The 12,101-nt window shown below is 46.1% G+C and overlaps 1 protein-coding gene across 6 annotated transcripts in view, besides 2 other annotated features; it reads left to right on the top strand.

Annotated features, from left to right (window-relative positions):
• CPXM2 (carboxypeptidase X, M14 family member 2) overlaps nt 1-12,101 on the top strand; it is a 198,466-nt gene that overhangs the window by 70,219 nt on the left and 116,146 nt on the right. For 5 of the 6 annotated variants that reach the window (XM_017015673.2, NM_198148.3, XM_011539285.3 and 2 more), the window contains one exon: nt 11,163-11,272. In XM_017015673.2, the coding sequence (XP_016871162.1) occupies nt 11,163-11,272 (110 nt within the window). Of the gene's footprint in view, nt 1-9,698; nt 10,032-11,162; nt 11,273-12,101 lie in introns of those variants that run through there. The other variant, XM_011539286.2, reaches the window with a different exon arrangement.
• Nucleotides 7,113-7,920: an enhancer, noted in NCBI's record as "H3K27ac-H3K4me1 hESC enhancer chr10:125625482-125626289 (GRCh37/hg19 assembly coordinates)". NCBI's record gives its function as "activates a minimal SCP1, AML or CMV promoter by ChIP-STARR-seq in naive H9 embryonic stem cells {active_cell/tissue: H9 hESC(naive)}" and the evidence as "EXISTENCE:reporter gene assay evidence [ECO:0000049][PMID:30033119]".
• Nucleotides 9,467-10,208: an enhancer, noted in NCBI's record as "H3K27ac-H3K4me1 hESC enhancer chr10:125623194-125623935 (GRCh37/hg19 assembly coordinates)". NCBI's record gives its function as "activates a minimal SCP1, AML or CMV promoter by ChIP-STARR-seq in primed H9 embryonic stem cells {active_cell/tissue: H9 hESC(primed)}" and the evidence as "EXISTENCE:reporter gene assay evidence [ECO:0000049][PMID:30033119]".

Here is a 12,101-nt window from a genome sequence, read left to right as displayed (position 1 = left end):
TCTGTCTCAAAAAAAAAAAAAAAAAAAAAGAAATGTGAGAAATAAATTTCTGTTGTTTATAATCTGGTACAGCAATTTGAATAGACTAAGACAAGTACTAAGTACCAAATGAAAGGGCACTATTTTGCAGTGCCACCTGTCTGTTGGATGTCAAGTATCCATATATGCCTGGCTTTGTTTTCAGGCTCACTAATCTTTATTATTAATTCATTTTTCTACCCATGCTTGAAATATCTCACTTTCTTAATTACTGTAGGTTTATAACAAATCTTGACATCTGGTAGAGCAGGACCCATTCTTCTTTAAAAGTTGTGTTTATTCTTGACCCATTGTGTGTACTTGTAAACACACACGCACACATTTACATCATGTAGTCAAGTTCTACATGATGTCAAGTCAAGTTCTTGGAATTTTGATTTAGATTTGCATTGATTTTACGAATCAATTTGGGAGAATGAACACATTTACAACATTGACTTCTAATCCATGAACATGGTATATCTCTCCACTTATTAGACCTTCTTTAATATCGCTTGTAGAAATTTATCGCTAGAGGTCTTATATATCTTTTAATAGATTTATTCTTTGATACTTGCTATTCTGTGATACTTTTAATTTCAATTTTCTACTCTTTATTGGTAGACTACAGGTGTATAGTTAATTTTTGAATGTTGATTTTTATATTCAGCAATCTTGCTAAACTCTTGTTAATCACATATTATTTGATATTTAAGTATAAATCGTAATGTATATGAAATAATGACAATTTTGTTTTCTCCTTTTCAATTCTTATACCTTTATTTATTTTCCTTTACTGTGTTGGCAAAGACCCCCATTCATAAAGAATAGATCTTCCTTGTGAGTTTTAATTCTGCTTTTATATTTTTAGTTTTCTTGCTATTTGGCCTTATTTAAAATATTTTTCTGCTTATCCTTTTCTTCAGCATGTTTTTTTTTTCTTTTTTTATGGCAAGTTGAAGCCATGACTCTTGGATTATACAAAGGATGAACAGTGTCTGGGTAAAATATTTTCCTAGCTAGCATATCAAGTTACTTTCAAGGTCACATTTCTCTGAGTGTTTTGGATGGTATACCTCCTTTAACGTTCTTTTGGTGGAATTTTTTGTTCTGCACAGACTGTACATTAGTGTTCATTCTTTATTTTTCAATGAGGCAAGATTCAGCCAGATTTTCTCCAGGAGGGACAGTCTAAGCCCTTTCTCAGATCTGTAAATGTTGACTAGCTCAAAATGCAGAACCTCCAATACAGTAGAGTTTCCAGTTTCTAGCAGCCTTTTGTCTTTTAAATATTTTCGTTCTGAGGTCTCAACTTCAGGCCTCCTTCCTACTTCCAGCCAGTAACCATTACTCCTGCTTCTCCTCAAAGATAACCACCATCAGATACAACTTTTGCCTGTTTTGAACTTAATATTCATCAGATCATACATTGTATGCTTTTTTGTGTCTGACTTCTTTTGCTCAATATGATGTTATGAGATTTGTCTATGTTGTTGTATATAGCATGGTTCATTTATTTTTATTGATTTATAGTATTCTAGTGCATGACTATACTGCAGGTTATTTATTCATTCTCTTGATGGGCATTTGGATTGTTTTCAGTTTTTTGCTATTATAAATGGTGCTGTTAAGACTATTCTTGAATAAGTCTTTTGGTGTATATATGAATTTTTTTTGCATGTATACCTATAAGAATTGCTGGATCACAGTGTATCACTAAGTACTGGTGGAGATTTTTCCAAATTGATTGTATCAGTTAACACTTCTACCAGCAGTGAATGAAAGTTCTAGTTGCTTCACATCCTTACCAGCATTTGATATTGTCAGCCTTTATTTTCTTCCTATTGGTGGGTATATGCTGATATCTCATTGTGGTCTTAATTTGTATTTTCCTGATGACTAGTGACTAATGCTTACTTACCATTAGGATAACCTCATTTGTGAATATGTGCTCAGTTCTTTTGCTTGTTGTTTTTCTTATTGATTTATAGGAGGGTTTTTGTTTGTTTGTTTGTTTTTCTTGAAAATACGATGAATATGAGTCCTGTATCAGATACATGCATAGTGAATATCCCACTTCTTGGCTCACTTTTTAACTCTAGTAGAAGTGTCTTTTGAATAATAAATGCTCTTAAATTTAATATAGACCAATCATCAATATTTTCTGTTGAGGTCAGTACTTGTTGCTTTGGACTAAGAATGTTTTTTGCCCACCCCAAGGTCATGAAGATATTTTCACGTTATCTTCTAGTGATAAAGTTACCTTTTACATGAACATATTTTCACTAAAGTAATTTGATTTAAATAAAAACATTAAGGAAATAATAGTGCAGGTGGTACATAGATGTGGAAAAATTTCTGAAGCTGATAATAGGCAAGTGCTTGAGGGTTGAGAAATGTTCTTTTGAACCAATAATTCCTTTTTTTTGAGCCTTATAAGCAACGTATAAAGAATGGTGTTAGTTTTCCATGATGATGCAGACATAGAGATTATCAGTTATACTGGATCATAATGCAGATTCATTCATTTGGGAACATTGGTTGGGCATTGGAAATTCGAGGATGAAAACTTGTCATTGCTGCTCTTGAGGCTCACAGCCTGTTCAGGGAGACAGACTAAACTACCATGGTAACAGTGTGGACTTTTCCTAGGAGGTTAGGCTAAAGGTAGGAGTGGGTAGGCTGGGAGGGTTGAGTGCAGGGGAGGAAGTCTTGGGAGGCTTTTCAGACAGAACAGCCCCTGAGCTGGACATTTAAGAAGGAGGTAGGTGGTCAGAACCTTTGAGGCTGAGGCTCCGGGCTGACTCCAGATATCAGCCACTGTAGCCAGCATGGGCTGGAACCCGATTCTTTGAGAGTGTCCTCTGTTGGATCCACTGGGGTCTGGGAAAGAAAATCTCTGAGCTTGTGTAGCCTCACAGGTAAAAGACCCCAGCCAGGTTTGCAGGGACTCTCTTCTGAGACTGGTTGTCTCAGAAGAATCACCTGGGAACTTCCGACCAGTGGTGGGTTCCTTTGCTAGCCTATTGATCAGTTTCTGGGAGAGGGGTTAGGGCACCTTTCCTTTAAGTTTCCTGGGAGATTGTGATGCTCAGTTGGGGTGAGAGCTGCTCTCTGGAGGAGCTCAGTGATGAGGGTCTGAAGGATCATCTCTCCTGTGGTGGGTGTTAAAGAGCTTTCCAAGGACGACTAGGTAAGGCTGAGATTGGCTCAGAGATTTCCCAAGACCCAGAGAGAGGCCCTGTCCCTCTGGGAAGCCAGTGGTATCTGAGAAAGGCAGAGAGCTACTGCAGACAGATTTTCAGTGTGCTGGGAAGCTGCCTTCACACTTCACTGATCAAAGGGAATGTCAAGTTCAGAAAGGCGAAGGCAAGAATTCCATTAAGTCGAAGCTACTCCATTTATAGGCGACAATGAAAGCAAAAGTTCAGGAGGGCTGTGAGTTTGTTCTTGGCAGCGCCCACCACGTCTTGAGGCGATCACAGTAGGCTACAGGGCCTCGGACTCTGAGCTCTGCTCTGCCAGCGGGGGATGCCTGTCTTGGCTCCAGCTCTTTTCCTGGTGTGACCCCAAACACCATCAAGCAACTTCATTTGTGTTATGCTCTCGAGTTTTCAAGTCAGACGGAGGTGGTGTAAAGATTATGCTTGAGATTTTATAACTCAAGACACCTAACGACTATTGAACTGTGTTCGGCATCCCTGAGTCTCAGCGATGATGAGCGACGATGCCCATCTGTTGGGGTCATTGTACAGATACAATGACAGGAGTCTCTAGCCAGTCTGGCTCGCAGTAGTTACCTGCAGGTTTTCCCTGTTGCTCCCCAAATCACTACACTTTTAAAATAATTTTCATGACACGACTCATAACGGCCCCCCACCCCCTGGACAGATTTGGGATACTGAAGGTGGGGTGTTGGGGTCAGTGCTAGATTCAGAATTCTTATTTATATGCTGTATTCTGACTGTGTCCTGGAATTTCTGGGCCACAAAGGCCTCCATGATCTTAAATGCAGTGGACATTTGCAGTTTGTTCAAGAGCTGCTGTGCATAAATGGTAATATATGGTGGTGATGATGATGATGATGATGAGGACTAATGAATCTGTGCCAGAGGGCAAATGCCTCTTTTTAAAGCATATGTAATGCAGAGACTGCTAGCAAGAGACAGAGCTAAGGCAGTACGTGCGTGGGGTGGGGTAGAATGAGGCAGAGGACGCCATGCTCGCCTCCCGAGGAATAGAGCATGGGGCTGGGAGATGGCGCCCTGCTCAGCGTGGTGTGTTCTCAGAGAGCTGCACTCTCTTTAAGAGAAAAGCAGATTCATCGTGGATGATTGTCACTCTCCTTTCCTCTAGATTGTGACACATCTCTGATTTCTAATTAATATTTTCCTGAAGTGTTTTCACACTTTTTTCTGTGTTCTCCTCACCCACATGCTTCTCAGGATTAGATCCTTTTTTCTTCCTAGAAGCAACAGAAACTTGATTTAATGAAAAAGGATGAATTTGTTTGTTTTAGGGGAGAAATGGGGAGCTCGTCTTGAGGCTGTTGGAACAAATTGGCTCAAGAGTCACTGAGCGATTAATTGTCGGAGCCCGCTTTCCTGCAGCCTGGCTGGGAACCCCCGCAGAACACTGCTGAGGGATGAAGAGCTGCCAATGAGTTTCCTACTTATTTCAAGCACTCTTTAAACCTAGTCATTATGTCATCAATTGACATTGTAATACAAATATGTTACAGTTCCAACAAAGATTTTTTTAAAATCTCTGATTACAGATATTTAAATTAAGCTTTGAAACCTTGCTTCTCCTCCGTTTTTCTTAGTCACCTATGCAACACTCCCGTCTTTCTTGGTAATGTTTTCTGAAGGATGGGGAAAAGTCCTAGTCCTTGGAAGTGGTATTGTGATTGACAGGTCCTTGGACCAGAACCAGATATTTCTTTGAGAATTTAAAGTCGATGGAGTTCTAACCTCTCATTCTAACTTTGCCATGCTTTTGGAGTTCTTTGGCTGGCAGAGTCCTCTGGGCTTATTTGCGGGAAGTGCCATGCAGTCCTCAGTGTCTGCTGCACCTGCCGGTCACGTGTCTGCTTGCCTTTGTGTCTATGTTTCTGGGCACGTGATTCTAGCTGTTCTTTCAGTAAAGGCCTATGGTTATGTTGGGAGTAGGGTACATTTTCCAAATACTCTTGTGTCTTAAAAAGCCCTTAGTTACCGTGACAATTACCGTGATTATTGACTATAACTTAGCTGGTAGTGGCTTCCAGATCCCAATTTCTTTTCCTTCAGCCCTTAGAATGCACAGGTTGCTGCTGCAAAATCTTGTGTACTCTGATGATCACTCTTGGTCATCTCCTGGCAGGTCCTAGACAAGCCCGGGACTGTGGCTGCGAGACAGTACTTGTCTCCTTTCTGCCGTCTCTGCCTTTCTTTTGAGATTTCTGGTTTTGAAGACATGGAGGTTTCCTGGACGCCGGTTCATTCATGCTGTGGATCTTGTCTGGCTGCTGATTGCCTCAGAGAAGCTGCCTAGGGGTTACGGTGTTAGCAGCAGTTCCCCATGGTGGCTGGGGTCCAAAGACCAGGGTGCAGCCCAGAGACTGAAGTGCTGACAATGATGTCACTTCAGGGACCAAGAGCAGCCTTGGGCGCTGGCCTAAGGGAGTGGGAGCTGCTGGTTTCTGGTGACTTGTTTGCACTGTGCTCCCTTCGGTCTTTGCCAGCCCAGGGTGGGGCTGACAGAGGTCTCATCCACTTTTCAAGGCCTCTGAAGGCCTAGGAACTGCAGATGTTTTCAAATGTTTTACCCTAGCCCCTGTGGCTCTGAGGCCTCCAGACCATTCTGCAGGTTTAAGATTCCCCAGACCTCCTCTCTCTTACGTGGCTCGCATGCTTTGCAAGTGGTTTCCTCATCCTGCATAATTTTCTCCCCACTGTAGTATTGTTCCCCTTAGCAGGAGAACCCAAGGGGGAGGAGCAGGTCACTTTATTCATTTTGGACATTGAGTAGACCTGTCAAAAATCTCTAGGATGGGCCGGGCGCAGTGGCTCATGCCTGTAATCCCAGCACTTTGGGAGGCCAAGGCGGGCAGATCACCTGAGGTCAGGAGTTTGAGACCAGCTTGGCCAGCATCGTGAAACTCTGTCTCTACTAAAAATACAAAAATTAGCCGGGCATGGTTGCAGGCGCCTATAATCCCAGCTACTTGGGAGGCTGAAGCAGGAGAATTGCTTGAACCTGGGAGGTGGAGGTTGCGGTGAGCAAAATCGCACCATTGCACTGCAGCCTGGGTGACAAGAGTGAAACTCCTTCTCAAAAAAAAAAAAAAAAAAAAAAAGAAAGAAATCTCTAGGATGACGCTCTGAAGGTAGAAAGAAAAGAAGAAAAATGAATCAGGTTGAAATATTCTGAAATTCTTCAGAGTGAAATATTAAGCATGAGTATTTCAATATTATGTATTTCGAATTAATTTAGATCTTTAAAGCAAAAGATAATTTTCCTGTCTTTTATTTTCTAGCCCCTTACTTTCTCATTCTTTAGCATAGGAAAATCCTGCCTTTTTCTAAATGTGGAGATTCCTGTGTCAGATGTTCAATATGTCTTTAAGATGGGCTTGGGAACTTTTCCTGGGATGCTTGATTCTGACATGGGATTTTTGCCTTGTTGATCTTTGCATAAAGGGATGTGGGATAGTGGGCTTGTGCTTAGACTACTTTATGCTTAAACTTCTTTTTAACTTAAAAAATGTTTTAAAATGGGATTTGGGGAAGGTGGGTAACTCCCAGCTGGCTCAGTGTGTAGTTTTATCTGAGCCTGCAGGATGCCTACTGCGGGGCATGGCGCCGTGTGTTAGGCTGGGTTGCAGTAGCATTTGTGAATTGCCCTGATGCTCATGGAAAATAGGGTGAAGTCAGAGTGAGGCAGACGTGGGATGGAAGGAAGGAGAGGAGGCTATCAAAGGGAAAAATAAAGAATGGAAGATTGATTAAATAAGAACTTTCCAAGTGAAGCTGACTTTACTGCTGTGTGCCTGACTGATACTGCAGCCTCTGCCACACAAAAGTGAGGGGACAGAGTGCCGAGGAAGAAGTGGTGACAAGCTTGAGGAGATTCTTTTGCAGCAGACATTGGAAGATGATTGGGTATTTGCTTCAGCTGCAGATTGCAGGCGGATTACTCCAGCTGCAGCGTTCACACCTGCCTGATGGGGGCCTCCAGGGTTCTGAGGCCTGCCTGCCACGTCAACAGGCCAGTCTCCAGACAAGCAAGTCGTCTGAGTTTAAACTTTTTTTTTTTTTTTGAGACAGTGTCTCACTGTGTAGCCCAGGCTGGAGTGCAGTGGCACGATCTCGGCTCACTGCAACCTCCGCCTCCCAGGTTTAAGCGATTCTCCTGCCTCGCCGTCCCGAGTAGCTGGGATTACAGCGTGTACCACCACACCTGGCTGATTTTTTGTATTTTTTAGTAGAGATGGGGTTTCACCATATCGGCCAGGCTGGTCTCGAAATCCTGACCTCAATTGATCCACCTGCCTCGGCCTCCCAAAGTGCTGGGATTACAGGCGTGAGCCACCGCACCCGGTCCTGAATTTAAACTTTGTGCGTGTGATTGGACGCTGAGTGGCATAGACGGTGCCTGTGACACCTCATAGCTGAAGTGTGGGCTCAGAAGGTGGATTGTTAAAGGGAAGGGGAGGGGCTCTCTTAGGGAATCAGTCTGAGGGTGATGAGCCCGTGCTGCAGCCAGGAAAGACTGCCCTGGGGAAGGTGGAAAGAAAAGTCCAAACAAGGAAGGAAGGTCTGGACCGAGAGGGAAGAGAAAGAGCAGAACATTGTGTGATGGAAACCAGGGCTGTGTGTGGTGTGGGGGTGGAGGAGTGGCTGAGAGGGAGAAATTGTGGGGCCCAGTACAGAAAAACGGAGAAGAGGCTGAGGAGTCCCAAAGGGCCACAAAGTGACCAGGGCCACTGTGAATGAATGGAGTCAGGAGCAAAAATCCCAGGAAAGGAAGGGAGAGAAGAAGCAGAGATGGAGGTGTTGCCCCTCCTGGGGTTGGCCAGGAGGAGGCAGTTGGAAGAACCCATAACTCAGAAGCTGGGCGAGCCTGCCTGAGCTGTGTTCACCCTCAGCTCTGGGCAGTAGCTGCAGGTGCCCGTCCCGTGCCCCATGTCGGTTGTGAATTTGGCGTCCCCTTGTTTTGCTAACAGCACCCTGATCCCAGTGGGCAGCCAGGGGACCAGGTGAGTCAGGCCCTCTCTGGAGGCATGCGTGAGGTTGAGTGGAAACTCAGAGGTGTGATAGGAGGTGGACAGTGTCATTGGAATCCACTGTTCTGCTTCCTAGATGACGGGAGCTCTGTGCCTTTCCACCTGCACGTGTCCTGTGTCCCGCCTCTGTCCTTCTCACTTTCTGCCATCCCTCTCATTTCTCTAGGGATTTCCCTTCCTGTCTAAGTTGGCTGTGGTAGGTTTCTTAAAACCAAAGGGCCCTCACTAACCCAGGCGGATCAGTAACTCTGTCTTTGCCTTTCAAGGACATTGTGTTTTCTCTGTGTGGAATCTCTAGCTTCTTTGTAAGTGGCACGGGCAATGGAGAAGGCTTCCAAACCAAAATTAATGGCTCTAAAAATAGCATCTTCTAATAAGGACAAAAAATCCCAGTGTCAGAGCATTGGGTTCCTGTAAGACTACGTTTGCGAGCAGGCCAAGTTCGTGTGTGTTTATCTGGGCTCCCCCACCAAAGTCATCATCTGTGCTGTGGGTGGAGGGGGTGAAGTTTCTGGCTTTGCCGTGACACCATCACAGGAGTGGACAAGAATGGCTGTTAGATGTGGCAGCTGCCAGCACTGCTGGCGGCGGGAAACTCAGCCCGTGAGAGGGCAGGCATTGCACTTTTCAGTTGCTATTAGACGTGCACCCATGAAACACCTCACTTGGGGGCACTTTCTTTTCACCCCTTATGTATCTTGGCAAGAGGATGTGACAGAGCTTCTGTCTGTCGACAGAAAAGCAATTTTGATGGATATGTAATTTTAGTCAGGTACTTCCTTTTTTGAATTAAAATACTCACGTGCATAGGAGTCGTGCTCTTTTTCTGGAAGAAATGTTTTGAATAGCAATTATTGTTGCTTTATTGAGCTGGTACATGATCTATATATGTCTGCCTGTCCATCTGGTGGGCTATCTGTCCATCTGTCCGTCTCTCACTTAGAGTGTATAAATGATATAAATAAAGGTGGCTTTGCTGAAGGAAGTCCATGGAATTTACCTCCTGCTGTGTCTTCTGCTACCAAGGAAGAAGCTGGTGGTTGGAAGGCCTTCAACACGGCAGTGAAATAGGTTCATAAGATGGCAGCAGATCCTTTTGGTGTTTCTGATGCTTGGTTATGTGGGACTGTTGTGGGTATGTATTGAGTACCAGGACATGGAGGGACAGGACCTGTGCCTGGTTCCCCATCAGGGTCTGAAACCCCCCAGGTCCCTTGAACCCTGAAACCACAGCTGGCAGAGTGAAGATAAATAGAGGCTATTCCCAGGCCACCAGGAATCGCCTGACAGAACCTGCTGCCTAGCCAGCTTGGTGTCACAGTCAGTGGGTGGGGTCTCTCTCTCAGTGGGTGGGGTCTCTCGGTGGGCGGGATCTCTCAGGACAGACCGGTTATTCCTGAGAATGCTGACTGTGTCTAAGGCAGGATAGGCTGAGACCAGGTGATGGGGAGAAGAGCAAGGAGTGAGCAGGAGACGAGGATGAGAATGGGGCACAGCAGGGCAGCAACCCCAGCTTAGGGAGCCCAAGAGCTTCAGCCAGAGCCCAGGCTCCTGGGGCCAGGCTGCAGGATGTCCTGGAGTCAAGCCTCTCCAAAGGGACAGGCAGCCTAATGGGTCAGTGGCCTTGACTCTCAGAGCTTGCCCTGGATTCTGACAAGGCCCTCTGGTGGATACCAGTGACCGCTGGGGACTGTGAGCTCCAAGAGGCGAATGGCATCCGACAGCAGGGGCCCATTGTCCTGAGGTGAGAGTGAAGGGCACGGGCCCAGGCTCCCAGCTGTCTCAGAGAGTGACGGGGTGTGGGATTATAACCTGGGCTCAGGGGCCAAGCTGCGGAGGTGCCAGACCACGAGAGTGGCAGGGTGGGGCTTCTGGGACAGCATGAGAAGGTTCTATGAGGAGGCAGGGCTGTTGGAGGCCCAGCAGTGAGGATTTCTGAGTATGTCGTGTGAGGATTAACCCTGCTGGTCAGCCACTTGAGGTCCATTTCTGGTAGGCAGGATGGAGAGTGAACATGTGGGACCCAGGAACTGCCACCACATGGGTCAGATTCATGTCCTTCAGGCCTGGAAGGTGTGAGGGCAAACCCTGGGGAAGGAAGGGGGCATGGTAGCCAAGTTTTTCTCTGTGAGGTCAGCCTCGGGTGGTTGGCATGCCTGCTGCACAAACCCCCTCAATGCGGGGACCCCCGGTTCATCATGTGGCCCCCTCTCGCTGCATGGCCTTTCACACTCACTGTGTGCACCCCTCCGCCTTCACTAAATGCTCCACCACTCACTGTGGTGGGCGTGGGGGCAAACAGCAGCCCAGAGGTCAGGAGACCCCTTCTGGATGCTGCTTTAAGCATTGTCATTCTTACGGACAATGGGCTAGGCTGGGACGATCAAGCACTGGTGTTTTATTCCAGGGGCAAATGGTGTTTACTAGCTGTGCTCCATGTTATCCATTTTGCAGAGACTGGAAAACAATAGGTTTTTTTTCTGCTTATATTCCTCTGCTCATTAGCATGCACAATATAAAGGCCAGAGTTGCTGAAGCAAAATCCGCAAGTTCTGATTAATTTGCAGAGCTCCAATGATGCTTCCTGACTGAGTCATGTTGGGGAAGGATCCTTAATTGGGAACAGCCTCAGACAGTAGCATGGACAGCAAAAGAGAAGGAATATCAGAGCAAAAACACCCCTAAAGCAAATGCCAACAAGAAAGAACATTGGCTTAATGTTGACAGTTCAATCAACCGTGTCTGGAAAGACCAGGCATGCCTGTGGGTGGGAGTTCAGGGGAAAATGGAAAAGCACGCGGCCAGATTTAGAAAATAAGAAACTCATCCCTTTCAGCATCTGTCGTTGTTTTTAACAAGCATTTGTCCTTTCCAGGTTGCCCACCTCTTGGTCTGGAAACCTTAAAAATCACAGACTTCCAGCTCCATGCCTCCACGGTGAAGCGCTATGGCCTGGGGGCACATCGAGGGAGACTCAACATCCAGGTACCTGGCCCTGTGGTTGGAAGGATTTTGACTGCCTTGTTTATTGCTCTGGTTCCTTGAGCTTGGATCAGGCAATGCGCAGGATTTAAAATGCATTAGCCTGGATGCTCACAGTAAGAAAGGATATTGCTGAATGATCCTAATTTTACAGAGAGAGCTCTGAGACTCAGGGAGGCAATGTCTTCTCCAAAGACTGTCGTGAGTAAAAGTGAGACCACCAGTACCTGGACCCAGGTTGTTCCTCTTCCACCTTTTGAACACTTCTCTTCCATATGCTGTTGGTCCAGAAAGGACAGGAGGAGAAGGTGGAATGCCTGGGGCATGGCGGGGCAGAGCCGTGGCACACGAGGCAGTGGCATTTGTCTTCCCTTGCCTCCCTGCCAGTGCTTCTTGTCTCTGCCACACACACACCTTCCAGGCTTTCCTGTGGCTCCCTCCATTGTGTTCCCCCGGGTCAAGCCCTGCATGGCTCCTGGGACCATGCACATCCTGGCTGGTCTCCCTCCTGGAGGCTCAAGGGCCTTTCTGACCTTGGGCCTCAAGACTGTCAGGCCTCCCTCTCTGTCAGTCCCATCAGTCCGAGGTCTTGCTCCAGGAAGGTGAGCTCCTGCCTGCACACTCTACACGCCGTGCAATTCTTGACTCCAGGCCCTTTCTGTAGCAGGTTCCCCTGCCTGAAACTTCTACTGCCCAACCATGCTCCACTCACATGAATCCCATCTGATCCATGTATGAGTTTCCTATTGCTGCTGTGACAAACGTAGCCTCTTCCCACAAATGTATTCTCTTACAGTTCTGGAGGACAGACGTCTCCTTGGGCTAAATCAAG

The sequence above is a fragment of the Homo sapiens genome, chromosome 10 (assembly GCF_000001405.40).
Source record: "Homo sapiens chromosome 10, GRCh38.p14 Primary Assembly".
NCBI classification, from domain to species: domain Eukaryota; kingdom Metazoa; phylum Chordata; class Mammalia; order Primates; family Hominidae; genus Homo; species Homo sapiens.
The sequence above is the reverse complement of the archived record's forward strand: the minus strand, read 5'-3'. Positions and strand labels throughout refer to the sequence as shown.